General features: G+C 64.5%; 2 protein-coding genes across 15 annotated transcripts, besides 17 other annotated features; one reads left to right on the top strand and one right to left on the bottom strand.

Annotated features, from left to right (window-relative positions):
* Nucleotides 1-189: 189 nt before the first annotated feature.
* TSPAN4 (tetraspanin 4) lies at nt 190-24449 on the bottom strand. 14 transcript variants are annotated; one of them, NM_003271.5, is made up of 9 exons: nt 24386-24449; nt 20001-20100; nt 16934-17013; nt 4560-4751; nt 2790-2864; nt 1687-1788; nt 1476-1607; nt 1300-1383; nt 190-739 (listed from the first exon to the last, which is right to left on the bottom strand). In NM_003271.5, the coding sequence occupies exons 3-9, from the start codon at nt 16994-16996 to the stop codon at nt 671-673; spliced, it is 717 nt and encodes a 238-aa protein (NP_003262.1). In that variant the 5' UTR covers nt 16997-17013; nt 20001-20100; nt 24386-24449; the 3' UTR covers nt 190-670. The 14 variants fall into 14 exon arrangements, with proteins under 14 accessions (NP_003262.1, NP_001020407.1, NP_001020406.1 ...); NM_001025236.2 differs by lacking the exon at nt 24386-24449 and adding an exon at nt 24251-24360; NM_001025235.2 differs by lacking the exon at nt 24386-24449 and adding an exon at nt 24256-24360.
* Nucleotides 905-1438: an enhancer, noted in NCBI's record as "H3K27ac-H3K4me1 hESC enhancer chr11:865863-866396 (GRCh37/hg19 assembly coordinates)". NCBI's record gives its function as "activates a minimal SCP1, AML or CMV promoter by ChIP-STARR-seq in naive H9 embryonic stem cells {active_cell/tissue: H9 hESC(naive)}" and the evidence as "EXISTENCE:reporter gene assay evidence [ECO:0000049][PMID:30033119]".
* Nucleotides 3039-3572: an enhancer, noted in NCBI's record as "H3K27ac-H3K4me1 hESC enhancer chr11:863729-864262 (GRCh37/hg19 assembly coordinates)". NCBI's record gives its function as "activates a minimal SCP1, AML or CMV promoter by ChIP-STARR-seq in naive H9 embryonic stem cells {active_cell/tissue: H9 hESC(naive)}" and the evidence as "EXISTENCE:reporter gene assay evidence [ECO:0000049][PMID:30033119]".
* Nucleotides 6241-6775: an enhancer, noted in NCBI's record as "H3K4me1 hESC enhancer chr11:860526-861060 (GRCh37/hg19 assembly coordinates)". NCBI's record gives its function as "activates a minimal SCP1, AML or CMV promoter by ChIP-STARR-seq in naive H9 embryonic stem cells {active_cell/tissue: H9 hESC(naive)}" and the evidence as "EXISTENCE:reporter gene assay evidence [ECO:0000049][PMID:30033119]".
* Nucleotides 6776-7308: an enhancer, noted in NCBI's record as "H3K27ac-H3K4me1 hESC enhancer chr11:859993-860525 (GRCh37/hg19 assembly coordinates)". NCBI's record gives its function as "activates a minimal SCP1, AML or CMV promoter by ChIP-STARR-seq in naive H9 embryonic stem cells {active_cell/tissue: H9 hESC(naive)}" and the evidence as "EXISTENCE:reporter gene assay evidence [ECO:0000049][PMID:30033119]".
* Nucleotides 7309-7842: an enhancer, noted in NCBI's record as "H3K27ac-H3K4me1 hESC enhancer chr11:859459-859992 (GRCh37/hg19 assembly coordinates)". NCBI's record gives its function as "activates a minimal SCP1, AML or CMV promoter by ChIP-STARR-seq in naive H9 embryonic stem cells {active_cell/tissue: H9 hESC(naive)}" and the evidence as "EXISTENCE:reporter gene assay evidence [ECO:0000049][PMID:30033119]".
* Nucleotides 7843-8376: an enhancer, noted in NCBI's record as "H3K27ac-H3K4me1 hESC enhancer chr11:858925-859458 (GRCh37/hg19 assembly coordinates)". NCBI's record gives its function as "activates a minimal SCP1, AML or CMV promoter by ChIP-STARR-seq in primed H9 embryonic stem cells {active_cell/tissue: H9 hESC(primed)}" and the evidence as "EXISTENCE:reporter gene assay evidence [ECO:0000049][PMID:30033119]".
* Nucleotides 12281-12794: an enhancer, noted in NCBI's record as "H3K4me1 hESC enhancer chr11:854507-855020 (GRCh37/hg19 assembly coordinates)". NCBI's record gives its function as "activates a minimal SCP1, AML or CMV promoter by ChIP-STARR-seq in primed H9 embryonic stem cells {active_cell/tissue: H9 hESC(primed)}" and the evidence as "EXISTENCE:reporter gene assay evidence [ECO:0000049][PMID:30033119]".
* Nucleotides 17879-17938: a silencer, noted in NCBI's record as "silent region_3047". NCBI's record gives its function as "represses an Ori minimal core promoter by ATAC-STARR-seq in GM12878 lymphoblastoid cells {active_cell/tissue: GM12878}" and the evidence as "EXISTENCE:reporter gene assay evidence [ECO:0000049][PMID:35858748]".
* Nucleotides 18715-18844: a silencer, noted in NCBI's record as "silent region_3046". NCBI's record gives its function as "represses an Ori minimal core promoter by ATAC-STARR-seq in GM12878 lymphoblastoid cells {active_cell/tissue: GM12878}" and the evidence as "EXISTENCE:reporter gene assay evidence [ECO:0000049][PMID:35858748]".
* Nucleotides 23777-23945: a silencer, noted in NCBI's record as "fragment chr11:843356-843524 (GRCh37/hg19 assembly coordinates)". NCBI's record gives its function as "represses an EF-1alpha promoter that drives an FKBP-Casp9 reporter gene in an ReSE screen in K562 erythroleukemia cells {active_cell/tissue: K562}" and the evidence as "EXISTENCE:reporter gene assay evidence [ECO:0000049][PMID:32094911]".
* Nucleotides 23931-24160: a silencer, noted in NCBI's record as "silent region_3045". NCBI's record gives its function as "represses an Ori minimal core promoter by ATAC-STARR-seq in GM12878 lymphoblastoid cells {active_cell/tissue: GM12878}" and the evidence as "EXISTENCE:reporter gene assay evidence [ECO:0000049][PMID:35858748]".
* Nucleotides 24181-24270: a silencer, noted in NCBI's record as "silent region_3044". NCBI's record gives its function as "represses an Ori minimal core promoter by ATAC-STARR-seq in GM12878 lymphoblastoid cells {active_cell/tissue: GM12878}" and the evidence as "EXISTENCE:reporter gene assay evidence [ECO:0000049][PMID:35858748]".
* Nucleotides 24279-25022: an enhancer, noted in NCBI's record as "H3K27ac hESC enhancer chr11:842279-843022 (GRCh37/hg19 assembly coordinates)". NCBI's record gives its function as "activates a minimal SCP1, AML or CMV promoter by ChIP-STARR-seq in primed H9 embryonic stem cells {active_cell/tissue: H9 hESC(primed)}" and the evidence as "EXISTENCE:reporter gene assay evidence [ECO:0000049][PMID:30033119]".
* Nucleotides 24381-25010: a silencer, noted in NCBI's record as "silent region_3043". NCBI's record gives its function as "represses an Ori minimal core promoter by ATAC-STARR-seq in GM12878 lymphoblastoid cells {active_cell/tissue: GM12878}" and the evidence as "EXISTENCE:reporter gene assay evidence [ECO:0000049][PMID:35858748]".
* Nucleotides 24772-27580, top strand: POLR2L (RNA polymerase II, I and III subunit L). The gene is made up of 2 exons (NM_021128.5): nt 24772-24887; nt 26821-27580. The coding sequence occupies exons 1-2, from the start codon at nt 24793-24795 to the stop codon at nt 26927-26929; spliced, it is 204 nt and encodes a 67-aa protein (NP_066951.1). The 5' UTR covers nt 24772-24792; the 3' UTR covers nt 26930-27580.
* Nucleotides 25023-25768: an enhancer, noted in NCBI's record as "H3K27ac-H3K4me1 hESC enhancer chr11:841533-842278 (GRCh37/hg19 assembly coordinates)". NCBI's record gives its function as "activates a minimal SCP1, AML or CMV promoter by ChIP-STARR-seq in primed H9 embryonic stem cells {active_cell/tissue: H9 hESC(primed)}" and the evidence as "EXISTENCE:reporter gene assay evidence [ECO:0000049][PMID:30033119]".
* Nucleotides 25769-26513: an enhancer, noted in NCBI's record as "H3K4me1 hESC enhancer chr11:840788-841532 (GRCh37/hg19 assembly coordinates)". NCBI's record gives its function as "activates a minimal SCP1, AML or CMV promoter by ChIP-STARR-seq in naive and primed H9 embryonic stem cells {active_cell/tissue: H9 hESC(naive and primed)}" and the evidence as "EXISTENCE:reporter gene assay evidence [ECO:0000049][PMID:30033119]".
* Nucleotides 27239-27288: a silencer, noted in NCBI's record as "silent region_3042". NCBI's record gives its function as "represses an Ori minimal core promoter by ATAC-STARR-seq in GM12878 lymphoblastoid cells {active_cell/tissue: GM12878}" and the evidence as "EXISTENCE:reporter gene assay evidence [ECO:0000049][PMID:35858748]".

Here is a 27781-nt window from a genome sequence, read left to right as displayed (position 1 = left end):
CATGATTTCCTTAAAACCAGAGGTCTGGAGACTGCTCTGCAGGCAGCTCCCCCAAGCCTGTGCACCAGGTGACCCCACAGCCCCAGGGCTCTGCCTAAGCACCGTTCATGCCAGAGGCTGCCCTGCCCCAGGCCTGGGTGCCAGAAGGGAAGATAGGGTAGGGAAGGCAGACGAGCAATAGACGCAAGGTTGCTGCTCACACTTTATTAAGATGCACCAGGAGCCCCACGGGCCCACTATGGAATGTAGGTGAGGGGTCCACGGCCCCGCCTGGAGCACCAGGACCAGTGGGGCCACCTCCAGGATGCCAAGACCCGGCTCCTCCAGCGCCAACCTGTTTTCCAGGAGGCTGGGGGCCACAGGCTGGCTCCCGTGTGAACACTGCTTTGGAGAATACGTAAATATAAAAAGTGCTGGAGGCCCCTCCCACCCCTGCCCTGGGTTCCGCAGCCAGCACGTGGCCACCCCTCCCAGGGGGGGTCCGGAGGCCCTGAAGCCACCTGAGCTAGGGCCTTCCAGAAACAGGGTTCCGGGGGCTCCAGGCACCTGTCCCTCCCTCCCTCCTCCCAGCATGGGGCAGAGCACCGAGGCTGGTGGTGGGAAAGGCAGCTGTGGGTGCGGCCATCTCCCCGTGGGCGTCCTTTTGGCAGAGAAGCGGGCGGTGGGCGGCCTACGCGCAGTAGGTGTCTGCCTTGACCACTTGGCAGTACATGGTCATGGCGAAGGTCAGGCCCAGGATCTGTAGGTAGGGGAGGAGGACTGGGCATGGCAGCTCCACAGGCTCAGGCCTCAAGCCCAGAGCAGTCCCTGTCCTCAGCAGGTGCCCTGGCCCTGACCCCGACCCCAGGGTGGGCGACACAGTGGCAGAGCCCTTCAGCTTCCTGGTGGCTTGCACGCCCCACCCAACCCCTGTGGCTCGAGCCACAGCACCCTCCCCTGAGCCTTGCAGGCATGAGGACACCCAGAACTTCCTGAGGGCTGTGGAGTTTGGAAACCAGGGGCCACTGGCACCAGGGCCCCAGCTGCCACCCTCTGTGCACTGGCCAGTCCTGGGCCACCGACCAACATGGACGACCACCGGCCTCCACCCCACACCAGCCTCTGCCTCTGTCCACTAAGAGGGAGCCCACTGTCCCCACAGGCCGTCCCTGCCCATCCCCCTGAACTCGCCCTCCTGCTTTTGCCCCGGCCTCCCCCGATCGTGGGTTCCTGGGGGCAAGGTCTTTGCTACTTTGTTCCCTGGGCTCAGAAGGTCCTAACAAAGTGGGGGCAGGGAGCCCGCAGGCCCCCAGGCCATACCTGCACCAGCGCCGTGCACAGCCCAAAGATGCCCACAGCCAGCAGGTTCTCCTGAAGCCACACCTTCACCGTCTCGTAGCACGGCTGCAGGGAGGGATGTCATGCGTGTCACGGCAGGGCCTGCTGGTCCCGCCCTCTAGGCCCCTACCAGCCCCCAGGGTGGGGGTCTCACTCACCGCCTTCCACCAGGTGCCGGGGGCGTGCAGCCCACAGCTCTCACTGAACTCCAAGCAGCAGGAGTCAGGTACCCGCGTGGCGTTGTACACCTCGAACCAGTCAGTGTAGTTGGAGACGCCACAGCAGCGGAACTGGGGGGCAAGCTCAGGTCGGGCTGAGGCAGGAGGGGAGGGGGCACCCGCCGACCCCGCCCACCTGCCCACGCCTCACGTCGGTCTGGATGATGCTCCAGGCGTTGGTGAGGCCCACGTTGCCCTGCGTGCCGTACAGGTGCAAGCCTTTCTTCAGGTCTTGCTGGGCATACCTGTCAATCTGGGGGTGCGGGGGGGGTCAGCAGGGCCCCTCCCACTGTACCCCGCCTCCCTCATCCAGACCCCCTCGCCGGCCCCTAAGCTGGGCCCCTCCTGCGCCTGGTCTTGTGTCCCCCGCGCCTCCTAGCCCACCAAGCTGCAGACACACCGGCCCCATGTCCTCCCAGCAGCCCTGAGGCCCAGGGCCCCCACCTCTGGGCTTCCTCCCCAGGCTGGGGGAGGACCATGGGTCCTGGGGGGACAGAGGACAGGGACACAGGTGCCTCCACGTATCGGGACACGTGCAGCCATGCTCTGTGAGCTGAAAGCCAGGGGCTATGAGCGCTGAGCCCACCCAGCACCCTGGCCTCGGTCCCCAATATTCAGTGAGGACCCAGAGCACCCTGGAGAAGGGGCTGATTCCTGGGCCAGGGCAGGGAATGAAGGAGCCTGGAGCGCCCTGCAGTGCCAGGAAGTCAGGACGTGCCCCAAAATGAAAAGTCTGTTGATGGGGGCACGTCAGGGGACCCAGCAGCAGACGGCAGAAGCTCCCCAGGGCCAAGGACGGACAGTGTGATTCACAAAACAAAGTAGTGTGTTCTAGCTCGGAGTGCAACCTCAATAGCCAGGACTTCATCCCAGTATAAACAAATGGCTGAATATATGAGTGAGTGACCAAGAAGAGGCCGCTCTACAGAGGAGAACCCCACGGTGCGCGGCCCGGATGGGGCGCTGGGAGCAGACGGCTCAGGACGCTGCGTCAGAGGGCGGGGGACAACCTGGGGCGCACCCTCCGGGTGGGGTAGCAGTGCCCTTGTGCCCCAGTCGCTATAGAGCCACAGCACAGCCTCCCAGGGTCGCTGGCGCTGCCCCTCCAGGCCTGGTAAATCCACACCCGCTGTCCTGGCTGCCCGTGAGGGCACATGCAGGGCCACTCTGTCCACACCGGGCCCACAGTGCTCCCTGGGAGTGAGGATGGAGCCCCCAGCCCTGCAGTTGGGCCTGCGGCCAAGGCAGCCGTACCTTGTCCGTGTAGGCGAAGAAGAGGATGGCGATGGTGGCCTCCAGCAGGAACACCAGCAGCAGCAGCAGGAAGAACTGTGGAGGGGGCAGGCTCAGACAGGGACCCGAAAGGCCGCACAGCCTCCGCCCCACAGCATGCCAGGGGCCAGGGCCACGTACCTCATGGATACCTGGTGCTGCCAGGAAACCTCTGCCAGGCCCCCACTCCCAGAGAGCCCAGAACGCCGCCCCCACCTCAGAACCCTTGGCCCCAGGTCCAGGGACTGTGGCTGTTGTGTCCTGCTCAGCCCCTGAGTGTGGGGCCCTGGGCTGGCCTGGGCTCCCCTCCCCTGCCCCCATCCCTGGGGCAACCCAGACACCCCCAAGTGGGCACAAATCCCTGTTCCTGAGGCCCCAGCCCCTGTCAGCTGCCTTCAGGACACCTCCATCCAGGGGCCTCTGAGTGTCTGGCAGGTGCCTCGCTGGGTGCCTGTCTTCATGGTGGGAAGATGTCCCAGCAGGGGCCACAGCTGGGCTGCAGAGGCCCCTTCTGCCCACACGTCACAGTCCTCAGGGCAGCCAGCGTGGCTGATGCCCCCTCCAGCAAGACCACAGGCTGCAAGCCCCACCTCTGACCATGCAAGCTTCCCCCGCCTGGCGGCAGCCCCAAAGCTCAGCCTGACCCCAGCCCTGCTGCTCCTCCATGCGGGGGTCAGTGACACCCACAAAAGAGGAGGGCAGGCATGGACAGCATGTGTCCAGGAGCTGGGGGGCCCAGGCAGAGTGGGCGTGAGTGGGGCAGACAGGGTGCTGGGCTAAGGACACAGGAGTCCTTCACCCCCAGGAGGTACCCAGGGTTCTGGTCCCAAGTCACCCATGGGAAAGGGGGTTGGGCTTCGGTCCCTGCAGGCCTGGTGGGGCCCACACACAGCAGCTTCCTCAACTGAGGAGCTCCAAGCCCCAGTAGGGCTGCCACAGACCCCCACCGACTGCCTCCAGGGGTCTCTGGGCCCCAACCTGATGCCAGGGAGGCTGATAGACTTGGGGCTTGCCCCCAGGAAGGGGTACGGAGGGGAGTGGACTGGCTGAGGCGACCTAAGGGAGGCCCCAACCCATCCAGGGCTTCCCAGACAAAGGAGTGATCGGAAGCCTCGTGATTTAGGACCTCAGCAGGCTGCACACCCTCCGCAGGGCCCACGGCCTCGGCCAGGCATGTTAATCAGTAGCAAGCCTGTGTTTCCATCTAGGAGCCCTTTTCCTTTTTAATTATCTGTGATTAACATTTCTAAGGAGGATAAACATATCCCTGCCTGTAAGTCCATCCCCGAGGCGAGGTGGGGGCTGGGATCGTCCCAGCAGCCGGTCCCAGGGAGCTGAGAGACCAGGCCCCCAACAAGAAGCTGGGGAAGGGGCCACAGTGGGGGTGGGGTGGTCAGGAATGAGTCACGGAGACCGCAAGCCCGTGAAAGGCTGCGCATGCGTGTGTACGTGTGTGCGGGGCTGTGCCTGCACTCACCAGGGCCAGTGTCCCGTCAGGGGAGGCCCCTGACAAGGTACAGCACGTTCTCTTGAGTGACCCCCACACCGCTCTGCAAATCACCCCCCAGCCCCAGTGTGGCCTGGAAGACCCAACAGTGGCCAGGGCCCCGGGCCACACTGCCAGCCTGGAGGTCCGGCCCCAGAGGTGGTGCCCACGTCTGGGGGGTCACTGCGGCAGCCAAGGCCTGGGGGCCACCGGAGCCCCACCCTGCGTGGTCCCACCCGGAGCATCGCTTGGGCCCCGGCACTCACAGTGAGCAGGAGGCACTTGTTCTCCTTGATGGCACCCAGGCAGCCCACGAAGCCGATGGCCATGACAAAGGCGCCGGTGATGATGAGCAAGTTGGCAGCCGACAGGGACGGGAAGGAAGAGGACAGCGTGGCGAAGCTCCCCTGTGTGGCGGCCAGCCAGATGCCGACACCCAGCACGCCACAGCCTCCCAGCTGGGGCACAGCAACAGGAGAGACACAGACAGGGTGAGGCCCCAATGCAAGCTCTGGACCCCAGGGCAGAGCCCGGCCCACAAGCCCAAAGCCATGCCGCCTGCCAGCCTGAGCCAGAACCACCCAGAGTCCTGCTAGATCCCACGGCAGCCCGGGGGGGTGTCCAGGGCAGGCCAGTCTTTCCCGACACCCTGGGCTGGCACCCCATCCCCAAACCCACACTCCATGGCCACAGTCGGGGAGGCTCCCTTGTGCCTCTGAACCACTCCCTCTAGGAGGGATCCGCCCAACCCCTGGCCTGGAGCCAAAGGGACGGGATCTTAGGCCCCAGGACGCAGTCTGCACACCCCTAACCCCGCTTCACCGTCTGGTCTGCGCAGGGCAGAAGGCTCACTCCCCACCTGACAGGCCACTCCAGCCTTTCCAGACTGTGCTGTCAGGGAGACCCAGCCCTGCCCTCACTCCGGGATGGGGCTTCCTGGCAGGTGGTCCCAGGATTCCGATTCCCAGCTCCCGACAAGATCTCTGTGATGTCCCCAGCTGTCCCCTGTCACTCGTGGCAGGAGAAACGCTGATTCCCTCACACTCTGCTCCTGGTTATGATTTCTTTCTTTTTTTCTTTTTTTGGAGATGGAGTCTCACCCTGTTGCTCAGGCTGGAGTGCAGTGGCACCATCTGGGCTCACTGCAACCTCCTCCGCCTCCCAGGTTCAAGTGATTCTCCTGCCTCAGCCTCCCAAGTAGCTGGGATTACAGGCATGCCCCCACCACACCCGGTTAATTTTTTGTATTTTTAGTAGAGATGGTTTAGCCACAATAGTCTTTTTTGTTTTTTTTTTGATACCGAGTCTCGCACTGTCACCCAGGCTGGAGTGCAGTGGCGCGATCTCGGCTCACTGCAACCTCCGCCTCCCGGGTTCACGCCATTCTCCTGCCTCAGCCTCCCGAGTAGCTGGGACTACAGGCGCCCGCCACCACGCCCAGCTAATTTTTTGTACTTTTAGTAGAGACAGGGTTTCACCGTGTTAGCCAGGATGGTCTTGATCTCCCAACCTCGTGATCCACCCACCTCGACCTCCCAAAGTGCTGGGATTCCAGGCGTGAGCCACCACGCCCAGCCGCCAGGATGGTCTTGATCTCAATCTCCTGACCTCATGATCAGCCCGTCTCGGCCTCCCAAAGTGCTGAGATTACAGGCATGAGCCACCGCGCCCGGCCAAGTTATGATTTCTTACAGCCACATGGGCACTGGTGGGAACAAAGCAGGCGGGTCCCACAGGAGCACCTGCCACCCGGAGGGCCACCTCCTGCAGTGTCTGTAACCGCCAGAGCTCTTACTGTGTTTCCTAAGTGCTTGTTCTTATAAAAATCAATTAAAACAGGAAGAGGCAGGGGGAGACGAGGGGGTGCTGCGCCCAGAGAGAGGGTGCTAGGCTGCTGGCCCAGCAAGGCCTCAAGGGAAGCAGGGGTCCGCCAGGACCCCACCTTCAGACAGAGGCCTCGGGCTTGGGCCGTTTCAGGATGAGACGGGAGATATGTTCCAGGCCTGGGCACGGGACAAGCAGTCCCCCGAAAATGCTGACCAGCTCCCGGTCTGCAGCGTGGGTGCCCAGGTGGGTGGTGGGTAGACGTCCTGGGGTGCCGACGGTTGACTGGTTCTGGGGAAGGGCCGCGCAGCCCTGGGGGATCCCTGCCCCACCCTGGACTGGACAGGACTTGGGAATGGGCTGGCAAAGCCACCCCTCAACCTGATGAAACCCCTTGGAGCACCCAGACCACATGCCTGAGGACAGGCTCAGACCCCAGGCTCTGGGGGTTCCCGGGGGACTACCAGAAGCCCCAAGTCACCCCATAAAAGCCTCCCAAGCCCCAGTGGCCAGACTCACACCCCACTTTCCAGACAGAAACCAAGGCTGGGATAGCTGCTGGCCACCAGCAGCCGCCCCACCCCCACCTGCAACACCAGCCCAGCTCAAGACAGGCCTGGGGCCTCCACCCTGGCAGGGCCCACGGAGGGCCCATGAGCCCCAACACTCTTGCCTCAGGGGGCCTGGGGGTGGGAGATGCCCCCTCCTCGTGTGCACGCTCACCTGCCCCTCCCTGAGCAGTGCATCAGCCAGCGCCAGGCTGGAGGTTGGAGGCCGCCACCCTTTTACTGGCTGGCTGGCAGGCAGGAGGCTGTGCTGGGGAGATGGGACACAGCTCCCTGCCCAAGGGCCAGCATGGCTGCTGGTGCCCCAAGATTCAGGCCAGGCCTGTCACTGGTGTCTTCGGTCCCTCTGGGCTCCACAGGGTAAAATCCCCTCAGAGCAGATTCCCCCCACTGCTGGGGCCCCACAAGTCCCACACACGCTCAGGCCATCCTGGGGAGAAGGCAGGCTCTGTCCTTCCCCGGCCTTCCAGAGGTAGCATCTCCGCTTAAAGTTCAAAACAGAACGCTGTCCGGAGGCTGCCAGCGCAGGACCTATCTTGGGAAGCTCTGCTGAGCCATTGGCTCCTGGTGCCTGCTGAGCTCTGACACCCACGCCCAGAGCCCCTCCCCAGCAGGCCAGGCACAGCGCACAGGGGAGCTGGACAGACTGGGTGCAGGAAGAGGGGTCACCCCTGTGCTCTGGGCCCCAGGATTGGGAGTACCGAGGCAGGGGCTGACTTGCTGGCTCTGACCACACAGCCCCTCGTGGCTGCAGGGAGCCAATAGGAGACCTGGGCACAGTGCCCAGCCTGGGTGTGGCTTCTGAGCAAAGCCAGCCCCAGAAGCAGCTTAGGGTGATAGGGGAGGCTTCCCAGGAGACCAGGAAGAGGCTTGGGGGTGGCAGCCAGCACAGCCCGGTGGAGGGCGGCCCGGAGACGCACCAGGGGACGGATGCATGAACCTGAGACGTGTGAGTCAAGTTGTGTGTGAGCCCGGGATGCATGGGAGCTGGGGTGCATGTGAGCAGGGGTACATGGGAGCTGGGGTGCGTGTGGGCCCGGGGTGCATGAGTGAGGGTGTGTGTGAGCCGGAGTGCATGTGGGCCCGGGGTGCGTGTAAGAGGGGGTGCGTGTGAGCCCGGGGTGCGTGTGAGCCCGGGGTGCGTGTGAGCCCGGGGTGCGTGTGAGGGGGGTGCGTGTGAGCCGGGGTGCGTGTGAGAGGGGGTGCGTGTGAGCCGGGGTGCATGTGAGCCCGGGGTGCGTGTGAAAGGGGGGGTGCGTGTGAGCCCGGGGTGCGTGTGAGCCCGGGGTGCGTGTGAAAGGGGGGGTGCGTGTGAGCCGGGGTGCACGTGAGCCAAGGTGCGTGTGGGCCAGGGTGTGTGTGAGTGGGGGTGTGTGTGAGCGGGGATGAGTGTGGGCTGGGGGTGGGTGTGTGAGCCTGGGTGCATGTGAGGGGATGCGTGTGACCTGGGGTGCGTGTGAGCCGGGGTGCATGTGAGCCCAGGGGTGCGTGTGAGCCAGGGCACGTGTGAGCCCGGGGGTGCGTGTGAGCCGGGGTGCATGTGTGCCGGGGGTGCAAGCTGTTGGTGTGAGCCCGGGGGTGCGTGAGAGCTGGGGTGCATGTGAGCGGGGATGCGTGTGACCCAGGGGTGCGTGTGAGCCGGGGTGCATGTGTGCCGGGGGTGCAAGCTGTTGGGGGTGTGAGCCCGGGGGTGCGTGAGAGCTGGGGTGCGTGTGAGCGGGGATGCGTGTGACCCAGGGGTGCATGGGAGCCGGGGGTGCATGGGAGCCCAGGATGCGAGCCGGGGGTGCGTGTGAGCGGGGGTGGGAGGCGAGGTGCATGCAAGCGGGGGTGCATGTGAGCCGGGGTGCGTGTGAGCGGGCGTGAATGTGAGCCAGGTGCATGGGAGCCTGGGGTGTGTGGGAACCGGGGTGCATGTGAGCGGAGGTCCGTGGGAGCCTGGGGTGCGTGGGAACTGGGTGAGCAGGGTGTGTGAGCGGGGTGCGTGTGGGCCGGAGTGCGTGTGAGCCGAAGTGCGTGTGAGCAGGGGTGCGTGTGAGCCGGGAGTGCATGTGAGCCTGGGGTGCATGGGAACCGGGGTGAGTGTCAGCGGGGGTGGGATCCGGGGTGCATGTGAGCCAGGGTGTGTGTGAGCCAGGGTGGATGTGTCTGGAGTGTGCAGGACCAGAGGCCAGCTCCGTGGCAGAAGTGCCAGGGGACATCCCTAATTAAGAGAATCTGTCCTCACTGGGAGCACTGGGCTTGGGGCACAGCCCCAGGGTGGGCAGGGGTCTGCCAGCTCTACAAAGATGCCCCCACTTCCCGGGGGACCTGGCCCTGCTATGGGATGCACCAGCAGCTGGGGGATGGGCTGTCCAGGGTGCTGACTGTGAACGCGGCGCCCCCACCCACCCCTTTGGAGAGGTGTCCCTCGTAACATTCTGGAGCACAGGAGAGGCCTGGACAGGCAATGGCCCACTCAATGGTCCCTCCAGACCGTCGGGCACAAGGTCACACACACCATGTACAGACAAGGCCATGCGGAACTGAGGGGCATTCCCGAGCACACAGGAACCCCAGCCTGCCCCTGGGCTGTCCCCATATCCTCCCGCAGTTCCCAGGTCTTGTGGAGGGGCAGACAGGGCACCAGGGGGACCCACAAACGGCCTGACACCATCACTGCCCCAAGAACTGGGCAGAGAAGGGATATGGCCCTGGGTCCAGATCACCAGGTGATGAGGGCAGGAGGTCAGAGGGAAACGAGGCCCCAGGAGAGGAGATGGCCATCAGCAGCTCAGAGTACATCCTGGCCTCAAGCGCCAAGCAACCCCACAAGTCTCATTCCAGACGAAATGCCCAGGCTGGGGGTGAAGGTCCCTGAACTGAGGGGAGGTGCTAGCACAACAGAGAAAACTGTCATTTAAAACCCAAACTGGGGCCGGGCGTGGTGGCTCACACCTGTAATCCCAGCACTTTGGAAGGCCGAGGCGGGCAGATCACGAGGTCAGGAGATGGAGACCATCCTGGCTAACACGGGGAAACCCCGTCTCTACTAAAAAATACAAAAAATTAGCTGGGCGTGGTGGCAGGCACCTGTAGTCGCAGCTACTCAGGAGGCTGAGGCAGGAGAATGGCGTGAACCCAGGAGGCGGAGCTTGCAGTGAGCAGACATCATGCCACTGCACTCCAGCCTGGGCGACAGAGTGAGACTCCGTCTCAAAAAAAAAAAAAAAAAAAACCCAAACTGCCTGCTCCATCTGCCTCTGCCTTCCAAGGACGCAGACCTCTCCTGTCATCAGGAAAATGAGCTGTTCCAAGCTCCCCTCGCCCCATGGGGATGTGTCGAAGGACACAGGGAGGACATGTGCAGAGTGACTGGTGCCATGCCAGGTGTGGGAAACCCCGTTCCATGGGGGCTGGGCAGGAAGGAACCCTACACCTCCAGCCCTGGGCCCCTCCCACAACTGCCCCAGCCCTGGTGGGAACTGATTTCCCTAATTAACACTCCACGAAACATCCTCACCTCCACCGGAGACGGCAGGAAAGAGACACCCACTGTCACCAGACGGGCTCGGTCACACACACTGTGACAGACAACAGCCCACGTTGCCACAGACGCCTCACACCATCACACGTGGCCACACGCGCGCGTTACCGCCCTGCAACCTGGCGTCCCCCGGGCCCCGAGGCCCCAGCGTGCTGGCAGACCCACACAGATAAAATGCGTGCACGTGGTTAATAAAATTACCTGCAATTTTGAAAGTGTTTCTGCATATGCAGCTTTTAAAACATTTTGGCAGGAAAATTATAGCCTCAAAGCGCAAGAGAAAATGGGCCCCATTAGCTTGGAGACAGAAAATCAAAAGCAGGATGAGCAGGGCTGAGGCCAGGAGGGCCAGGTCCCTCTGGTCAAATGCAGCCAGATGGGGAGCAGCTAGGGGTGTGGCTGGCAGCCTGCGCACCCTCCCAGGGTCCCACCCAGCATCTGGGCCTGGACCCGGAAACCAGAGGAGCTCCCTCCCCACACGCTCAATACAAATAGGAATAGGCTGAAAGCCTCCCTCCCTCACTGCTGCCCCGCCGCAGGCCAGACACAAGCTCAGGTGGGAGGTTGACCCCGCCCCATGACAGCTGGGGAGAGGAACCCTAGGAATGATGGCAGCTGGGGGAACAGCCCAGGAGAGGGGCTCCGTCCCAGACCTCTTCACCTCCAGTCAGCGGTGCCTGGGGCCTGTCCTTCTCCCAGACATCAGCTCACACTGTCCACTGCCCAGAACCTGTCCCCAGGACCTGCGTGAGACCATCTCTGGCCAATGTCCGTCCAGCATACCAGGCCCCAGGCTCAGTCCATCAGACACTCGCTCACCCTGATCTTCAGCAGCAACTGATGGCTCTGCCCAAGATTAGGAGCCCAAAAGGCTTGGAGGGCCGTCCCTCAGCACCCACCCAAGAGGCTCGGGGGGCCGTCCCCCAGCGCTGGGCGTGTGCAGGTGCTGCTGAGGCCCATGCATTCTCTGCTCTGCCCTTCTTTTCCAGTCTGGACAGCCCACCTGAGCCTCTTGGGCAGGTGCTGCGGGACGGCCCCCTTGAGCCTCCTGTAGGCCTTGGGCAGGGGTGCAGTCACTGGAGTCCATCGAGTATGCTCCCTCCGGGCCCACGGGGGCCACGCTGGCCAGCTCTCAGCCCTCAGCCCACTGCCCCTCTGGCCATGCGGCTTTGTGGCAGATGGCTGGGCTGCCAGCCACGTCCTTGGAATAGGATGGGGGGCTGGGTCCCTGCAGGGGCCAGGGCTCTGTCCAGACACAGGGATGCTAGCAGCCAGCACAGCCTCAGGACCCTCTGGGCTGGCGGGAACGTCCCCGTCATGGCTGGGATGCTGGTTTCCAGGGATGACAAGTCTGTCCACTTACAATCTGTGTGGCTCGCTGTGATTTGTTTCCTTAAAGCTGTGGGCCCTGAGCGACGTCCTGTTTCCACATCCCCATCTGTCCTCCGTTCCCTCACCCCTGACCCTAGGAGCTCTCCAAGGGACCCCAGGGCCCAGAGATGAGGAGACCAGCCCCACCCAGTGACCAAGGCCCACCCTGAGGCCAGTGTCCAAAGCAGGGAGAGCAGAACAGCCCTCGTCAGTGGGCACCTGCCCAGGGTGCCAATGCTGGCTCCTGCAGGGTGGGTAGGAGTTTGCTGGAGGCACAGGAATCCAGGAGGAGACTGTGACCCAGCGGGGCTGTGGGTGCAGCAGGGCTGCGTGGGAACAGCAAGGAGGTGGCCTGCCGTCATCAGGCCAGGACCACGGCTCACATCGCACAAGCGCGGCTGGAAGCCCAGGTCCCCCACGCTCACTCCCGTCCCCCTGCGTGGGCCTCCTGACTTCTCTGCCTGCCCCCTGCAGCCCTGGGCTGCCAATGCCACATCTCTGCCCCCAGAGACAGCCCTCTCCACACAGAGGCCCGGCCTGCCTGCCCTGCCGCCAGCTGGGACCTGGAACCTGCAGAGGCCCCGTGGAGCCAGGCCTGTGTCACTGGGTGGACAAGTCTGACCTACCCCCAACAGCACCAGAGCTGCCTGGAGCCCACAGCTGGGTAGGCAGTGTCCCCCGACCGACCGCTGCTGCTCCCCACCCACAGGGAGCCACACACTCCCCAAGGCTCAGACACGCTGTGGTTGCCAGCGTCAGGGCCTTTGTTCAGAAACGGATTGTTTCCGAACAATTGATCCAAAGGCTGGCCTGGGATGTTAAACTCCTCAAAGAGAGGCCTGGGAGCTGAAGGCAGAGCCCTCTGCCACCCTTGGGGACACTGTGCTGCCCAGAGGCCAGCGCCAGGCAGGCCGGCCATGCCATCTGCCAGACATCGTCTCAGCTCATCCCAGGGGAGGGGAAGCCAAGGCTGGCCCCCACTGCACCCCCTCCACCAGGCTCACTGCTGATCTTAGAGCAGAGGCCTCAAGCGCAGCCAGGACTTTCCTTTGGAACAACAGAGAGTGGGCAGTGAGGCTGAGGGGCCCCCACACCTCCAGGGTTGACAGCCCAGGCAGCGCAGAGCCAGGACAGCCCCCGTGCCCCTCCAGGCTGGGGCCCTGGACCACCTGGCTCCGAGACTCACACTGCCCACCTGGGGGGTCTCCCCGGGGATCAGCGCAGGTGGTGGGGAACTGAGAGGCCTCCCACATTTCCATTCAACCCCCGAGCCAGGCCAGTATATGGGGACCTCACCCTCTACCGCCCCACATGGTGCAGATGGGAAAATGAGGCCTCAAGGAGGGCAGAACCTGCCCGGCGTCCCGCACTGGCAGGTGGGACTCCAACCCCCACCCGGTCCCCCAGCCAGGCCCTAACCATACAGTGCGGAGACGGCCGGAGCTTCCACCAAGCTCCTGGTGCTGCGGGTGAAGAGAAAGGGGAGCAGCACCCACCCTGGGGAGCAGCGTCTGGAAGGAGCCGAGGCCAGGAGGGCGGGAGGACAGCCCTTCGTGGTGGCACCTTGCTAAATAGCTCGGCTGCCTCCATCCCTGACAGGCGGGAAGAGCAGGCCCCGTCCTCTCCCCTCCGCCCCGGGACCTCCACTTCCATTAGGGGAAGAGTGTCGCTGGCAGCAGCTGAGCTGACCAGGCAGCACAGAGGCCTGAAGGTGGGGGTCCCAGGGCAGCAGAGCCCCCCACGCCCTCACCATTGCTAACCTGTGTCTGTGTCGGCACCTGCCTTGGACCAGGACACCTCGCTCAGGCTCACGGGCCCTGCACCCAGCCTCCCCCGGAATGAGGCTCCCAGGAGACACCCCGGCCCCACCACAGGCAGCCTGCTTCCCACTCCCCAACCTCTGCAGGGAGGGCTCAAAGGAAGGCTCAGTGGCTGTGCCCCAGCGGAGCTGCCATCACCGGGTGAGGGCCTCTATTTGCTGAAGGCAGGTAGCATGTCCCCAGATGTCCATGGGGTTAGGAGTTGGCACCAGTGCTCTGAACTCTGAAGGCCCCACCGGGTCCCCCACCACCAGGCCAGGACACATCCTACCTCCCCACCCTGGCTGCCCCAGGAACCCTCCCCACTCCACCCAAAGCTGGAGGCTCTGAGCACAGACTCTTGCCAGCAGCCCCACCCTCCCAGACCCCAGCAAAGATGCCTGCCTGGGAAATCCGAACCAACGCTGTAAAGAAATACGTCAATCAGCCTTCTGGAGCGAGCCCCTCCCTTCCCCTCCCAGGTAGGCCCCCAGGCTGCCCCAGGCCGTCAGTGACCAGGGGCCCTAGCCTGACCATGGGTGTGGAGGGGGGCTCAGGCCTGGACCCAAAGAGACCTTGGAAGCCAGGAGTACTGTGAGGGCCTTGGAGGGTCTGCATTTGGAAGAAGGGGGGCTTTGAGGAGAACATGGAGGCAAAGGTGGGAGAGAGGGGTGCCAGGCTGGGGTTAAGGGCACAGGAGAGCAAAGCTAAGGGGCAGCCAGGCAAGCTGGGGGCAGAGGGAAGCTGCACCCTGACCACCGCACACGAGCCAGGCATGGGACCCCACTCCCAGCCCCCCAACCCCTCCCAGTGCCCTGGCCGCACCTGTACCACTTACAGGGCTCAGCCCCTGCCCCCACACCCACAGCCACACCCAGGACGGGCACAGCCCCCCAGTCACACACAACTTTCCTCACCCCACCCCGGCTCCCACCACTGCCCACGGCTCTGGTCACTGGCTGCCCACTGGGGCTCCCCCATGCCCTCCCCACAGGCCCAGCAGGACTCCGGCAGCGGGGGGTCAGGACAGACACACGCGGGGATCTTGAGGTCCCGCCGGGGGGACGTCCCTCCCACCACCTTAACCCCTGAACTTCGCCCCTGAGAAGACGGAGGAGGAGGAGGAGGAGGCCAGGTTGTATCCCCTGGTCTCCCAACGAGTAGGAAATGGAGTGGGCGGCAAAAGCCCCGACAACAGGGGGCTGGCACCCCCAAAAGGAAAGGAGCCCTGGGGAAGGGGAGCGCTAGGCCTGACTCCTGAAATAGCCTCACGCCAGGAGGAGAGGGCTTAGCTCACAGTGACTCAGGGCACAGCAGGCGTGGACATCAGCCCGGGACAGACTCTCCTGGCAAAACCCCCACTCATTCTTATTTCCCCTGCCCCGCCCCCACCCTTAGACCCCCACTGGGCACCAGCCCAGGGTTGGGGGGGGCCAAGGCTGGTGTATGAAGCCAGCGGGGCTCCAGTTTGCTGGACTGGCGGGAAGGTGGTGATTGATTAATAAAAAATAATTGGGGCCGCCTGTAATCCCAGCACTTTGGGAGGTCGAGGCAGGCGGATCACGAGGTCAGGAGTTCGAGACCAACCTGACCAACATGGTGAAACCCTGTCTCTACTAAAAATACAAAAATTAGACAGGCGTGGTGATGCGCGCCTGTAATCCCAGCAATTCGGGAAGCTGAGGCATGAGAATCGCTTGAACCCCAGAGATGGAAGGTTGCAGTGAGCCAAGATCACGCCACTGCACTCCAGGCGACAGAGCAAGACTCTATCTCAAAAAACAAAGATAAAAAAGAGAGAATTGCATTTTCCAGCCCAGAATAGGGTCCCAAGGGGGTTCCTTGTGTGTTCTTTCCCAGGTTGAGGATGGGGGAGTGTGTCTGCCATGCGGTAGGAATGGAGGCTTCTCTGGGGTTCACAGAGCAAAGAGAGGTCCACCTGGGGGTCCTCCATGAGGGCGGGCTGCTCTCAGAGCAGAGAGACCCCCCCTGGGAAAGGACCCTCTTCTTTCTCCCTGAAGGCAGGTGTCCAGGCCACGGAGGACAGGAGGAGGGTGGAGAGGAGAGAGGGCTTCCCCTCCCAGGACCTGCCTGCCTGCCTGCCGGGCCCCCACACCCACTGCCCTTCAGTCATTCTGCCCCGTCCCCCCGTCACAGAAACACTCTGGTCACTCAGCCACCTGCAGCCCACCCCCCACACCCACCAGCTCCAGACCACACCCACACCTCCCACCACCCCTACCTCCAAGGCGCCCCTCAGGCCTGGGCCTCACCCCTCCAGAGCCTCTTGCAGAAAACAAACCCTTGGGTGACCCCTTCTGGAGGTGGATGTCTGGGCCAAGAGCCTCCTTGGGTCACACTCAGCAGGCAACCCAGGCTGGCTGTCCCTCCCAGGGACCCCCCTGCCTCCACCCCAAGCTGGCTAGAGAAGGAGCCTGGGCTCAGGAGGGGAGAGGTGGGAAGGCAGACCCAGGCTTCTGGGCACTTGGCCCAGCTGGACCTTATGCAGATGGACAGCCTCCTTCTGAAGCCCAGAGCCTAGGCAGGAGCTGAGGCCACACCCCCGACTCCCAGCTGCAGGAGCTGGTTCAGGAATTAAGAATAGGGCACAGAATGACCTTGGTATCACTTCACCTCCCCCAGCCCAGCCAGCAAAGCCCCAGGCCCGGTCCAGGTCATCCTCGGCCACCCCCAACTGCAGCTGCCCTCCACAGGAGCCAGGGACAGGACAGGGTCGCGGCTCCATGAGGCTTGCTCCAACCTGGCCAGGTGGGAATCCTGCCCCACCTCTTGCTGACATGGGGCTGGGGTGGGGTGGAACCCTGTCCGCCCTCTACCTCAGCTCTGCTCCATCCAGCACACAGGGCCCCCCCGGACACCACTGCAGGTCTGAGCACACCTGACCCCACCTCCGCAAAAGTTAGGGAAGCCTCTGCTGCCGGAGGCGCGGGAAAGCCAGTGTCTCCCGCGAACACTGATGGCCCACGGCCCTGCTCAGTGTCCAGGATTCCCTTCCGCAGCGCCTCCCGGCGACTGGGGGACCTTGGCGGCAGCCGGCTCAAACCCTCGGAAGTGAGTCCCTGGGCCCGACAGGTCGCCTGCCTGGAGGGGCGGGGCCGAGGCAAGGATAACGGCTGCACCGAGGAGGGAGCGGGCGCAGAGGAGGCACCGGGGCCCCGCGCAAAACTGGCCACGACCCGGACTCGAACCCCGACCCTAGGAGAGGCGCAGTGCCCGGGTGGCCCTGTCCGGCGCGCACGTGTGCAACGTGTCCCGTCTCATCAAGTGAGGAGAGGAGAGGAGAGGAGAGGGGACCAGGGCGTGGGGCAGCCGCTCTGAGTGCAGGGGGCGGACCCCGCGATGGTGCAAACCTTCCCCACCCGCCCAGTCCAGGCTCCTAGCCGGAGCAGCGGTCTTGGGTCCTCCCGGGACCATCCCCACAACCGCACCCAACGCCTGGCCGGGGCAGCGACTCCGACTCCCCAGACCCCGCGACCCGCCGCGGGAGGGACCCCGGGTCTTTCCCGGGCCCCCACCCCGGCCCCCGGACTCACCCAGAAGAGCAGGTTGAAGGCGAACATGAGGTACTTGACGGCCTGGAGGCAGGCGCGCGCCATGCCGCAGCGCTTCAGTTCTAGGAGGAAGATGAAGGAGAGGTCCAGGTAGAAAACCACGTACTTGTTGCCCTTGGGCGACGTGTAGCGCGCCTGGGCCGCCTTGGGGCCGGGGTTCGCGTGCAGGCCGAAGAAGGAGCCCCCGGCGTCCCCGCCGCCCGCGCGCCCGTATAGGCTGCTGTAGCGCCGGAAGGGGCCGCCGCGCGCGAAGTCCGGCTCCTTGCCCTCCGGAGAGGGGCTGCGCCGGTACGTGGACTCGTCCGTGCTGGAGCGGCGCATCGCGCCCGGGTGTGCCGGGGCCGCCGCTCAGCGCCCCGCACCCGCCGCCCCGGAACGCCCCATCCCGCCGGCCGGCGCCTGCTCCGGCCCCGCTCCTGCTCCCGCTCTGGCCCCCGCGGTGGCAGCGGGTCGCGCGGATCCGCTCGGACCCCGGCGGCGGAACCCAAACATCTGCCCGGCCCGCGCGCTGCGGCCCCCGCGCCCCCGACCCCGCGCGCCCCGCCCCGCGCCCTCCCGGCCAATCCCCGGCGGCTCCGCCCCCGCGCGGACCCCTCCCCTCCTCGCCGCACCGCCCGGCAAACCCCAGCGCTCCGCCTGGGCGGACCAATCGCAGCCCCCGGCAACGCACCAGCCGCGACCCCGGCCCCTTCGCCCGCGCCGGCGCCCCAGCCCCCCCACCTTCGCGCGCGGGAGGAAGATGCTCGCGAAGGGCGCCTGAGGGGACTGGAGGCCGGGGCCGGGGCCTGGGGATGAAACCTGGGCAGCTCTTAGCCCGCGACCGACACCCCCAGCCCTTCCCCCCACGGTACCTCGCCCGGACTCTGGCCCCGGGCCGGGCTTGGAGACCTCCAACCACGAGAACGATACTCAAAGCACTACGCAAATGGAGGGTGACCCCGTTGCTGTCTGGTGGCAACTTGAAGCGGCTCCGCCCCGGGCGCCCTTGGGGAAGCCCTGAGTGCCGGCGGCGGGTGGGGGGCTGGGTCAGCCTGCACTGCATGGAGCAGGTGTCGTTGAGTCTTTGACTATATGGGAGGTTCCAGAACACAGAAAAGCGCAGGTGTGATTCCTGAGATACCCACCCCCCCTCCACCAGGCAGCCCCGCAGGAGGCTGGCAGCCCCAGGACAGACCCAGAGCGCTCCAGGTGGGCCCGGCTCGGCCTCCGCCCCGTGCTGTCCCCAATGCGGGAGCGGGGCCGGCTTCAAGGGCAGTCGCGCGCACCCACCCCAGCTGGCTTGATGCTCTGCTGTTCCCGTCTTGAAATTCTTGGTAATTTTTAAACAAGGGGCCCAGAATTTCATTTTGCTCCAGCCCAGGCTGGAAGTCAGCCTGTAAAAGACCCCACCCCACCCCTTGACAGGTACAGACATACCGGCCCCGTGCGCAGATGTGCCTGCACTCCTGGGTGTCATCACGCCGGATGCGCACACACCTCCCACAGCCGGAGATGGGGACAGAGGCCCCCAGCTGTGCCCTGCAGCCTACCCCACGCCTCTGAAGCCCCAGCCCCACCACAGGGCACAAGGGCCCTGCGGTGTTGGGAAGATATCAGCACGTGGCCCAGATTCCTGGCAGATGACCTGAAGCCCAGAGGTGGGGAATGAGGAAGGGCAGGAGGAAGAGGAGGGAGAGGAAGCTAAGGGAGGGGAAGGGGGTGCTCCATGGCAGGGCTGACCAGCTCTGGAGGCCTGGGTCCTCCTGGAGTGACTGATGTGGGAGGTGGCAGGTCTGGGGAGGGCTGCCGTGGAAGCCCCGGGTGCCCAGGGAGGTCCCGCAGCTCTGCCCACCCCTGACGACCTGGGCTGGGTGCCCCAAGCCTCTGCTGCCCCCCAAGGGCTCTGTAGAGAACTGCAGCCCAAGCCCCAGGGCAGCACCCCATGCCCAGGTCCTCGCTGGGGGAAGGGGACAGGGGGCCCCCAGAGAACAGGAGGCTGGCCTGGAGGTCCCCTGAAGGCCCACAAGGCCATCCTGGGGCTTCCCATGGCCCCTACCCTGTCCTTCCCCTGGGGGTTCTTTGGTGGGTCTGGGCCCCAGGAATGGGTCAGAACGGCGGCCACGCATCGGGGCCCAGCAGAGACCCCAGGAGCCCTGGGACCCCAACCCTGACAGAAACCCTCACCCGCAGCTCTGCCCAGAGAGCAGATGGCGCCCGGCCCCCTTCCCCTGGCCACGCAGGTGCAACCTGAGGGCAGACACTCAGCCGTGTGCAGCGCCTCCAGGGAGCTCACATGTGACCTGGGCAGCGCTCAGAGCACCTACTCGTGGGCCAGGCAAGGGCAGGTGCCACGGGGACCCGGGAGGACCCCAGGCTGACTGGGAGAAGCCAGACCCCACCTGCAGTCAAAAACACCACCCGAGCCACCCCAAGGAGAGCATCCGCCGCCAGGCTAGCCAGTGGCACCCCTGCCCCATCTCCCCTGCGTCCCTCTGTGGCTGGGGGTGGAAGGGGAAGTGGCAGGCAAGGCTCGAGGGTCCCAGGCGGGTGGGAGGGCGAAGGGAGAGCTGGTCTGGGTGCCTGCACTGAGCCCAGCGCCCAGGATGCAGTCCCAGTGTCCCCTAAGACCCCTCCCACCCCCTTTCCCATCTACAAAGCTCTGCACACATCGCCCAGGTGAGCAGATGAAGCCTATTCAAGAAGAAATCAAAAACCTCACAAGGCCACCGAGGGTCAGGAGGAGCGGGGTTGGGGGGGGGTGGGGGCGGGGAGCTGGGCTTGCTTCTGTTGCCAAGTTCAAGATTCACACTGGGTTGCCCAGACGCAGTCAGGGGCCCGGGCAAGGCACAGTGTCAGAGCTCAGTCGGGGAGGGTCCTTCAACACCCCAGTCGGGGTGTTCTGGGACCCTGTCTCCAAAGTCCAGCCCCTCCCCACGGGAGCTCCAATTAGATACTCAGGTGTGGTGTCAAAGTGTCCGCTGGCAAGGCCCCTGGGCTGGCAAAGTGAGACCCAGAGGCAAGCCCACTGCTGCCCACCACAACCATCCAGCCCAGCCGGGCCCTGACATACCTGGGCTGGCCACAGGAAAGAGACCAGGCGGTGCTCAGGGTCCCTGAAGGCTGACCAGTGGGCAGGCAGGTGGTGGGTGCGACCAAGGAAGCCCCAAGCTCTGCAAAAGGAAAGATGGGCAGAGTGGAGCCCTGGCTTCCACCCTCAGCTGTACAGCCAGAGATGCTCCCAGAGAAGGGCAGGGAACCCCCACCTGGGGCCAGGTCCCTACAGGGCAGAGGGGCAGTCGGGGTGGGCAGGGGATACACCACCAGACTCGGAGAAGAAGACCACTGAGGAGTAGCCCCAACCAGGAAAGCTCTGAATCAATGACTGAGTCACCAAATTCTGCTCCTTCAGGGCTCTGAGACAGCCAGGCAGGGACACAGACTCACACTCACAGAGACACGGTGTGCAGAGAACACATGTTCAAAGACGTACTCACAGCACGGACATGCAGAGACACAGGCCAAGACACATGCTTGCACCCACACAGACACGCAGCAGTGCCTCCTCCCTGGGGTCCTGGACCCCTGGACCAGCCTGCTGTCTGCTTCCTACCAGGCACAAGCACCCCTACCCCACCCTGCCTTGGGCTCTGAGCAGACACCCAGGCTCAGGAAGGGGCCTCACGCCCTCCCTATGGAGCTGCCAGCAATGACCCGCAAGGCCCTCCTCCACCATGGGTGCCAGGCTGGGGAGTCTGTCCTCCTCCTGGCACTCAGGGATTTCTGGCCAGGGAGAGGCCCCAAACCCACCTGGGCAGCCAAACGCAGTGCCCACTACTCCCTGCCCTGCTGGCTCAACCCCGCAACACCTCGCCCCTCAGAACTAGCTCTCTGGAGTGAGGTAACTGTCCTTCCAGTAGCCCAAGGGCAGGAGGGAACCATAGAGCCTCCACCCCAACCCTGGCTGAGCGAGAGCCCCAAAAGAGACATCCAGAGCTCTGCAGGTTGGAAAAGCCCTGGGGACTGAGCTGCAAGGAGATCTCAGACACCCACAAGGCCAGACGGAGGTCCAACCCAAAGAGGGGCCTGCCCACATGATAAAGCAGCCTGTCTGCAGCAGCCTGGGTGCCATGCCCGTGGAGCAGCCTCTCTGAGCCCCAGCAGCAGGGCAGCAGCTCAGTCCTGGCCCAGCCCAGACCTCGGGGTCTCCACACAGCTCAGCAGGGGCAGCTCAGGACAGACAGCAGAGCCAAGCCCACACACCCTGGCCCCCCAGGCCCACGGGCTCTGAGGCAGCTTTGAGGAGGTAGGGAGGCCCGCCAACACAAACAGCCTATGCTGTGGGCTTCCTGGCTGCCTCAGCCCCTGCGGGGCCCCAGTGCCCGTCCCAAGCCCTCACCCTGGGGGGTCCCAAGCAAGCTGGCACTCCCTCATGCACACAGAGGAGCAGGGACTGGGGGCTACATACAGAGTCTGGGTGGGACCAGGCCCCTCCCACCCAAACCTGAGCCCTGGAGGCTGGAGACACCACTCTGATACCCCCAGCAGCCCCAGGGGAGGGACAGATAGTCCAGAGGTCCCCCAGTCTTTCCTCCTGGGACCACCGAGGCTAACCCCACACTCCAGGCCTTCCCTGTAATCCTTTCCTGCACTGTTGGGTATTTATCTGCTGGGAGTCGGGGGTGAAGGCAACAGACTTAGGACCCTGGGTGGGGGGCACCTTCCCACACCCCCCAGGCTCCAGGAGCAGCCGCACCTCAGGTGCCATCCCACCACAGCCCTGGCCCTGGCCCCTGCAACCTAGACCCCTATAGAACAGTCTGGGGGGGCACATCAGGCCTGGGCAGCTGCATGGCAGGCAGTGACATTCCCAAATATCACCAGCCCCGACATATGAGTGGTGAGGCTAGGGTCAGTTCAGTCTCGGCCCCATCTACAGGCCCCACCGCTCACAGCGCCGGTCTCCCAGGACCGTAGAGAGGACCCGGCCCCATCTACAGGCCCCACTGCTCACAACGCCAGTCTCCCAGGACCGTAGAGAGGACACGGACGGCGTGGGTACGGTGGGCAGTGGCCTTGGCTGTGTGCACCGCTGAGGTGTCGGGCACGTGTGCTCGTGGCGCCGTGTGCACCCACCCCATCCCACAGCACCCTGGGGGTGAGCACACATCTGTCCCAGGCATGGACAGGGCCAGAGAGCACAGGTGTGGGGGCGAGGCTGGGGACAGACACCTTCAACACCCTCTCCCAGTCAAGGTCATGCCCAGCCTCAGCGGCAGGAGGGATGCAGCCCTCCGGGCGGGCAGTTTCTGATCCCACCTGAGCTTTACAGACAGGGAAACGTGGGCTGGGATCCCAGACCAGAGTGCAAGTTCAGCTGAATCCCAGCCAGGGCTCAGCCCGTGCTCCCCCTCCCAGCCCTCCTGGTCCCGTGGCTGGCCTGTTTCCAGGGCAACACCCAGGGTGGGAGGGGTCAGCAGCTAAAACTTCAATCATGGGTTTCCCCTGGTCCTTTGCCCTGAAGTGATCCCTCCTCTAGCAGGAAGCAGCCGGGGGAGCCCACCCTCTGCTCCCTGTGCCCTGCCCTGACCACAGGAGGCTCCACAACGCCCCCTTCTATAAAACCAGCGCCTCACCCTCCTGGCCCCATCCCAGACCCCCCCCCCCAGAAGCCAGGCCGAGTCTGCGCCAACACTCCACACCCAGGAGAGAGGGGCCCCCACCCGCCCCTGCTGGCGGGCACAGTGCCCTGCCCCGCCACCAGGCTCCCTCCCACCCCCGCTTGCCTGAGGAGGGCCAGGCCCAGGCTCCCCAGGGTCCTCAGGTAGAGCCCAGTCGGGACTGAGGACAGGCCTGGGCCCCCAGGGGCCTCCGCACATATGTGGTGGGGGCTCGGGGGAGATGCACAGAGCCTGAGGCTGGGGCAGTCTCCAGATCTCAGGGGCTCTGCTGGGAAATGGAGGGATAGGAAGCGCACACACTCGGAATTCCAAGAATGTCAGCTTGGCCCAAGCCAGGATTTGGAGAGCAGCTCACTCCCCACCACCCCTTGCTCTGAGTAAACAACTCCTGCAGGCAGGAACAGGGGCGGGACAGGCCCTGGACCCTCCTCCAAGAAGCCTCCAGGCCCCCACCCACTCCCCAGGGCCCACCCTGCTAACATCCGGGACCCCCCTGCCCCCCTCACCTCCACAGCCACCAGCAGCCTCGCAGCTGAACCTGGCTCTGACCCCAGGCCACCGTTACTCAGGGCCCCTGTCCTGCCCTTCTGCCCAGAGCAGGATGTGCGTCCACTCATCCTGGGGGGAGGGGGTCAGGGAAGGGAAGTGGCCTCGGCTCGTGGCTCCGCACGTGGCTGGGTGGGGTATGGCAAATGCCACTGGGGAAGCTGCCCAGGGCCCTGGCCAGGGTGGGAGCGGAAACCCCAAGCGTGCAGTGGATCTGGCTAGCACCACTCCGGACCCAGAAAACCCTTCGTCCTCCTCCTCTGCAACTAAGGCAGACGCAGCATTGCCCTGAGAAAGCGGCAGCTGATGCCTGGAACCCAACACAGGTCCCACCCCAGCCAGAAGCCCCAGGCCGGCAAACCAGCCCAGAGCCCCCCATGGGTGCCGCTTTGCGGCCCACCCACCCCCACAGCCCACCTCGCACCTCCAAGGAGCCTTCTTTGCCTCTCACTGCACACCGACCCCCCATTTCCTCACCCCCACCCCAGGGGCACAGCAAGAAGGGTGCTGGTGCCAGCCCCCCCGCACTCCATCCGAGAGACACGGGCTCCTCGTCCCTCGTCGTCCGTAGGCCCTGAGCTCCAGGGCAAGCCAGAGCTGAGGCCTTCAGGGGGTCCTGCCAGTGCAGCCTCCGGGAGTCTGCCCAGGGATCCCCTGTGCCGGGGTCTTCCAGGTTCAGCTCAAAAAGCACCTCTTCCACGACTCCCTCCCCGACCTCCCTCCCGGGTCCCCTCTCCCCGTGCTCAGAGGCGCGTCTGAGCGTCGGGAGCTCGGGACGGCGAGCAGCCAGCAGAGCCGGGACCCGGGAGGGCGCACCCCGACCCCATTCCCGGGAAAGAGCGGAAAGAACGCGGACAGGAGCCCGGGGCGGGGAGCTGCCGGCGGGGGCTGTAATTGCGCAGCTGAGGCCAGGGCGGCGCCCCTAGGGGCTGGGCCGCGTCCAGAATGGGACCCCCGAACTCAGCGCCGAGAGCCCCGGACACCCCGCGGGCAGAGGCCGAGGCGGAGGAACCCACTACTCGGCGCGGCCAGGAGGGGCGGCAGGAAGACCCGCCCCGGCCCCCGCCCGCCCTCTCCCCGAGCCCCCGCGCCGGACCCCACTTGTTGCTGCGTGTCGGCTCTGGGCTCGAACTCGCGCGCCCCGCTCGCGTCCGGCTCCAGCCGCTCCCGGTCGGACACCTCCGGCCACGGGACCCTGGCCGCACGCCCCCACAACCCCCAGGCGCAGTACCTGCGCCGCCGCCTCCCGCTCGCGCCGCCCGCTCCCGCCGCGCAGCTGTCAGTCAAGCGGACACGAGAAACGCGAACCGCCGCCGCAGCTTTACGGCCCTGCTCAGACGCCGTAGCGCCGGGATGCACCAAGACGGTGGGCGGGGGTGTGCGGTCTGCTGCTGCCGCGGCCGCGCGGGCCCGGGAGCCCCGGGACGCACAGGCCCAGGAGCCCCGGGACGCACGGGAAGCCCCTATCGCGGCGGAAACTGCGGCCAGCGGTGGCGGGGCCGGTGGAGGGACGGCCGGAACAGCGGAGAACGAGCGGAGCCGATTCTCCCGCAACAGTGGACGCGCCCGGGGCGGGGCCTGGGGGGGTTCTTCGCGTGCGGCCGGGCCGGGCCGGGCAGTCTGGGACGCGCCGCCGCCATGATCATCCCTGTACGCTGCTTCACTTGTGGCAAGATCGTCGGCAACAAGTGGGAGGCTTACCTGGGGCTGCTGCAGGCCGAGTACACCGAGGGGTGAGGCGCGGGCCGGGGCTAGGGGCTGAGTCCGCCGTGGGGCGCGGGCCGGGGCTGGGGGCTGAGTCCGCCCTGGGGTGCGCGCCGGGGCGGGAGGCGCAGCGCTGCCTGAGGCCAGCGCCCCATGAGCAGCTTCAGGCCCGGCTTCTCCAGCCCCGCTCTGTGATCTGCTTTCGGGAGAACCTTATCCCCTGAAGTCTGGGGAAGAGAACGGAGTTGGGCTTCAAACCAGTGGTGTCCTGGGGATTCTAGGTGGCCTGGCGGGTCGCAGGCGTCTTGTCACCCGCAGTAAAGCCCTTGGCCTCCGCCCTATTCCCATCTCTGCCCCCAGGCCCACCCCATGTCCTGCAAACCTCGCTGCAGGACGGGCGGGCGCGGCGGCTGACATCTGTAATCCCAGCAGTTTGGGAGGCCGAGGCGAGAGGCTTGCTTGAGCCCAGGAGGTCGAGACCAGCCTGGACAACCTGGGGAGACCCTGATCTCCAGAAATTTATTTTATTTTATTTTTCTTTTTTGAGACGGAGTCTCGCTCCGTCGCCCAGGTTGGAGTGCAGTGGCGCGATCTCGGCTCACTGCAACCCCCGCCTCCTGGGCTCCAGCAATTCTCCTGTCTCAGCCTCCCGAGTAGCTGGGACTACAGGCGTGTGCCACCACGCCCGGCTAATTTTTGTATTTTCAGTAGAGATGGGATTTCGCCATGTTGGCCAGGCTGGTCTGGAACTCCTGACCTCAGGTGATCCACCCGCCTCGACCTCCCAAAGTGCTGAGGTTACAGGCGTGAGCCACCGCGCCTGGCTCTATCTTTTTAATTCGCCGGACATGGCGGTGCACACCTGTGGTCCCAGCTACTTGGGAGGCTGAGACGAGAAAATCGCTTGAGTCTGGGAGGCAGGTGGAGGTTGCAGTGAGCCAAGATCACGCCACTGCACTCCAGCCTGGAAGAGAGAGTGAAACTCCGTCTCACGCACACACACACACAGAAAAAGAAATGCAGGGTAGACTTGCTGACCACCCTCATCAGGCTTTGTAGGGGAGGCGTCTTTCTCCTGTGCTTGTCCCTTGGTGCTGCTGTCACCACGGTGCCTGAGTCTTGGTGCCCCCGCTGGAGTCTGACCCTCGCCCACTGAGTCTTCGTCACATGTGAAGCCCTGGGCTTGTGTGCGCCAGCCTGCCATCGGCACTTGGTGCAGCTTGCTGGACAAACGAGGAAAGCGAGTGGGCTGCTAGACTGAGTGGCTGGCGGCCTGTCCAGACCCTTTCCCCGGATAGGAACGGCAGGGGCCTCCCATGTGGCCTCCCCTTTCCCAAGCTTCTGTGTCTCTGCACATTGGAGCCATCGGTGTGGGAGTTTTCTGGAGGTCTTGAGGGTGACTGGAGCTAGGTCCCAGGGAAATGAAAGCTTCTAATTGGCTTGGGAAGTGGGAGAGGTGGCTCCGTGGAGAAGCAGTCTCTCTCTGATGGAAGGAAGCAGAGGTGAGGAAAGACCCCACAGCGGCAGAGCAGGGCTTGCTCTGGCTGGGGTGGGGGTGAACCAGCTAAGGGCAGGCCCCTGGAGAGCTACCCTGCCGTGGCCAGTGCTGGATGAGGTGGCTGCACATCAGCACCTTGGTGGTCTTGGTTTTCTAAGCTCCCCGCAATTACTTCGTTTTCATTTCATTTACATTTCTTACATACGTTATACACACACACGTACAGCCAGAGTAGGTGGGAGAGGAGGCTCCTCACGCTCCACCCAGGGTTCTGGGCATTTCCAGGTTACTCCAGCCAGGATCATACTGCTAGATCTCAGCTTCTGAGCCGGGTGAATCTGTTCGCCTTGCCGGTGGCGGGGGGGGTGAGGCCAGCAGGCAGTGAGAGGCAGGTTGGATGTGGGCTCCAGGCCTTTGCAGACCGTAGAGAACTCAGTTGGCCTCTGCTCCTCCCCTCGACACAGGGATGCGCTGGATGCCCTGGGCCTGAAGCGCTACTGCTGCCGCCGGATGCTGCTGGCCCACGTGGACCTGATCGAGAAGCTGCTCAATTATGCACCCCTGGAGAAGTGACCACGCTGGAACCCACCCACCCGCTGTGCTGACCATGGGCCCTGAGCGTCCTGCCCCGAATTCACGAGGCTGAGGCATCCGGGAGCTGGCGTAATGCCTGGCCGCAGTGTGTGTGTATCCGATACCCCACTCTGGAAGGAACCATCCAGTAAAGGTCTTTCAGAACCACTAAGGTCCCAGCCCTCACTAGGATGTCAGGAGCCAGGTCTAGGCCCAGCTTTCACACTGTGGCAGCCCAGTGAAGCAGACTGGGCCATGAACTCTCCTAGCCCTGGGGCCAGCCTGTTCCACAGGCACCCCTGCAGGAGGCGCTGCCAGGAGAGCCTTCCATCTCGGGGCTCTTTGAGGTTCCCTCCTTCTGGGTGTTCTTCAGGCTGAGCAGAGAGGCTCCTGTACCCTCTCTCTCGGAATCTGAAGAGCCAGATTTAGGCCGGGCAAAGGGGCTCACCCCTATAATCCCAGGACTTTGGGAGGCCAAGGCAGGAGGATCACTTGAGTCCAGAAATTCAAGACCCGCCTGGGCATCATAATGAGACCCCATCTCTACAACAAAATTTAATAAATTAGCTGGGCACAGTGTTCACACCTGTAGTCCCGGCCACTCGGGGCTGAGGCAGGAGGATCACTGGAACCTGGGAGGTTGCCACTGCAGTGAACTGTGTTTGCACCACTGCACTCCAGCCTGGGCAACAGAGTAAGACTCTGTCTCAACACAACTATGAAAAAGAAGAGAGAAACAGATTTTCTGGGGCCCAGTCTCTGCTGTGGTCAGGGCTGCCAGTACCTGCTGGCCTCTGCCCACTGCTGCCTGTCCCTGAGCGTCCCACCCAAGCCCAGCAGGGAGGGCAGGCC

The sequence above is a fragment of the Homo sapiens genome, chromosome 11 (assembly GCF_000001405.40).
Source record: "Homo sapiens chromosome 11, GRCh38.p14 Primary Assembly".
NCBI classification, from domain to species: Eukaryota; Metazoa; Chordata; class Mammalia; order Primates; family Hominidae; genus Homo; species Homo sapiens.
This window is presented reverse-complemented; position numbering and strand designations above follow the sequence as displayed.

Excerpts from the sequence above, each read along its gene's own strand:
- TSPAN4 (NM_001439693.1), bottom strand. The coding sequence starts at position 17,272 with ATGCGCCGCTCCAGCACGGACGAGTCCACGTACCGGCGCAGCCCCTCT. Across the intron at positions 1,608-1,686 it reads GGAGCATCATCCAGACCGAC|TTCCGCTGCTGTGGCGTCTC; the intron begins GTGAGGCGTGGG and ends CTTGCCCCCCAG. Across the intron at positions 740-1,299 it reads TGTGCACGGCGCTGGTGCAG|ATCCTGGGCCTGACCTTCGC; the intron begins GTATGGCCTGGG and ends CCCTACCTACAG.
- POLR2L (NM_021128.5), top strand. The coding sequence starts at position 24,793 with ATGATCATCCCTGTACGCTGCTTCACTTGTGGCAAGATCGTCGGCAAC. Across the intron at positions 24,888-26,820 it reads CAGGCCGAGTACACCGAGGG|GGATGCGCTGGATGCCCTGG; the intron begins GTGAGGCGCGGG and ends CCCTCGACACAG.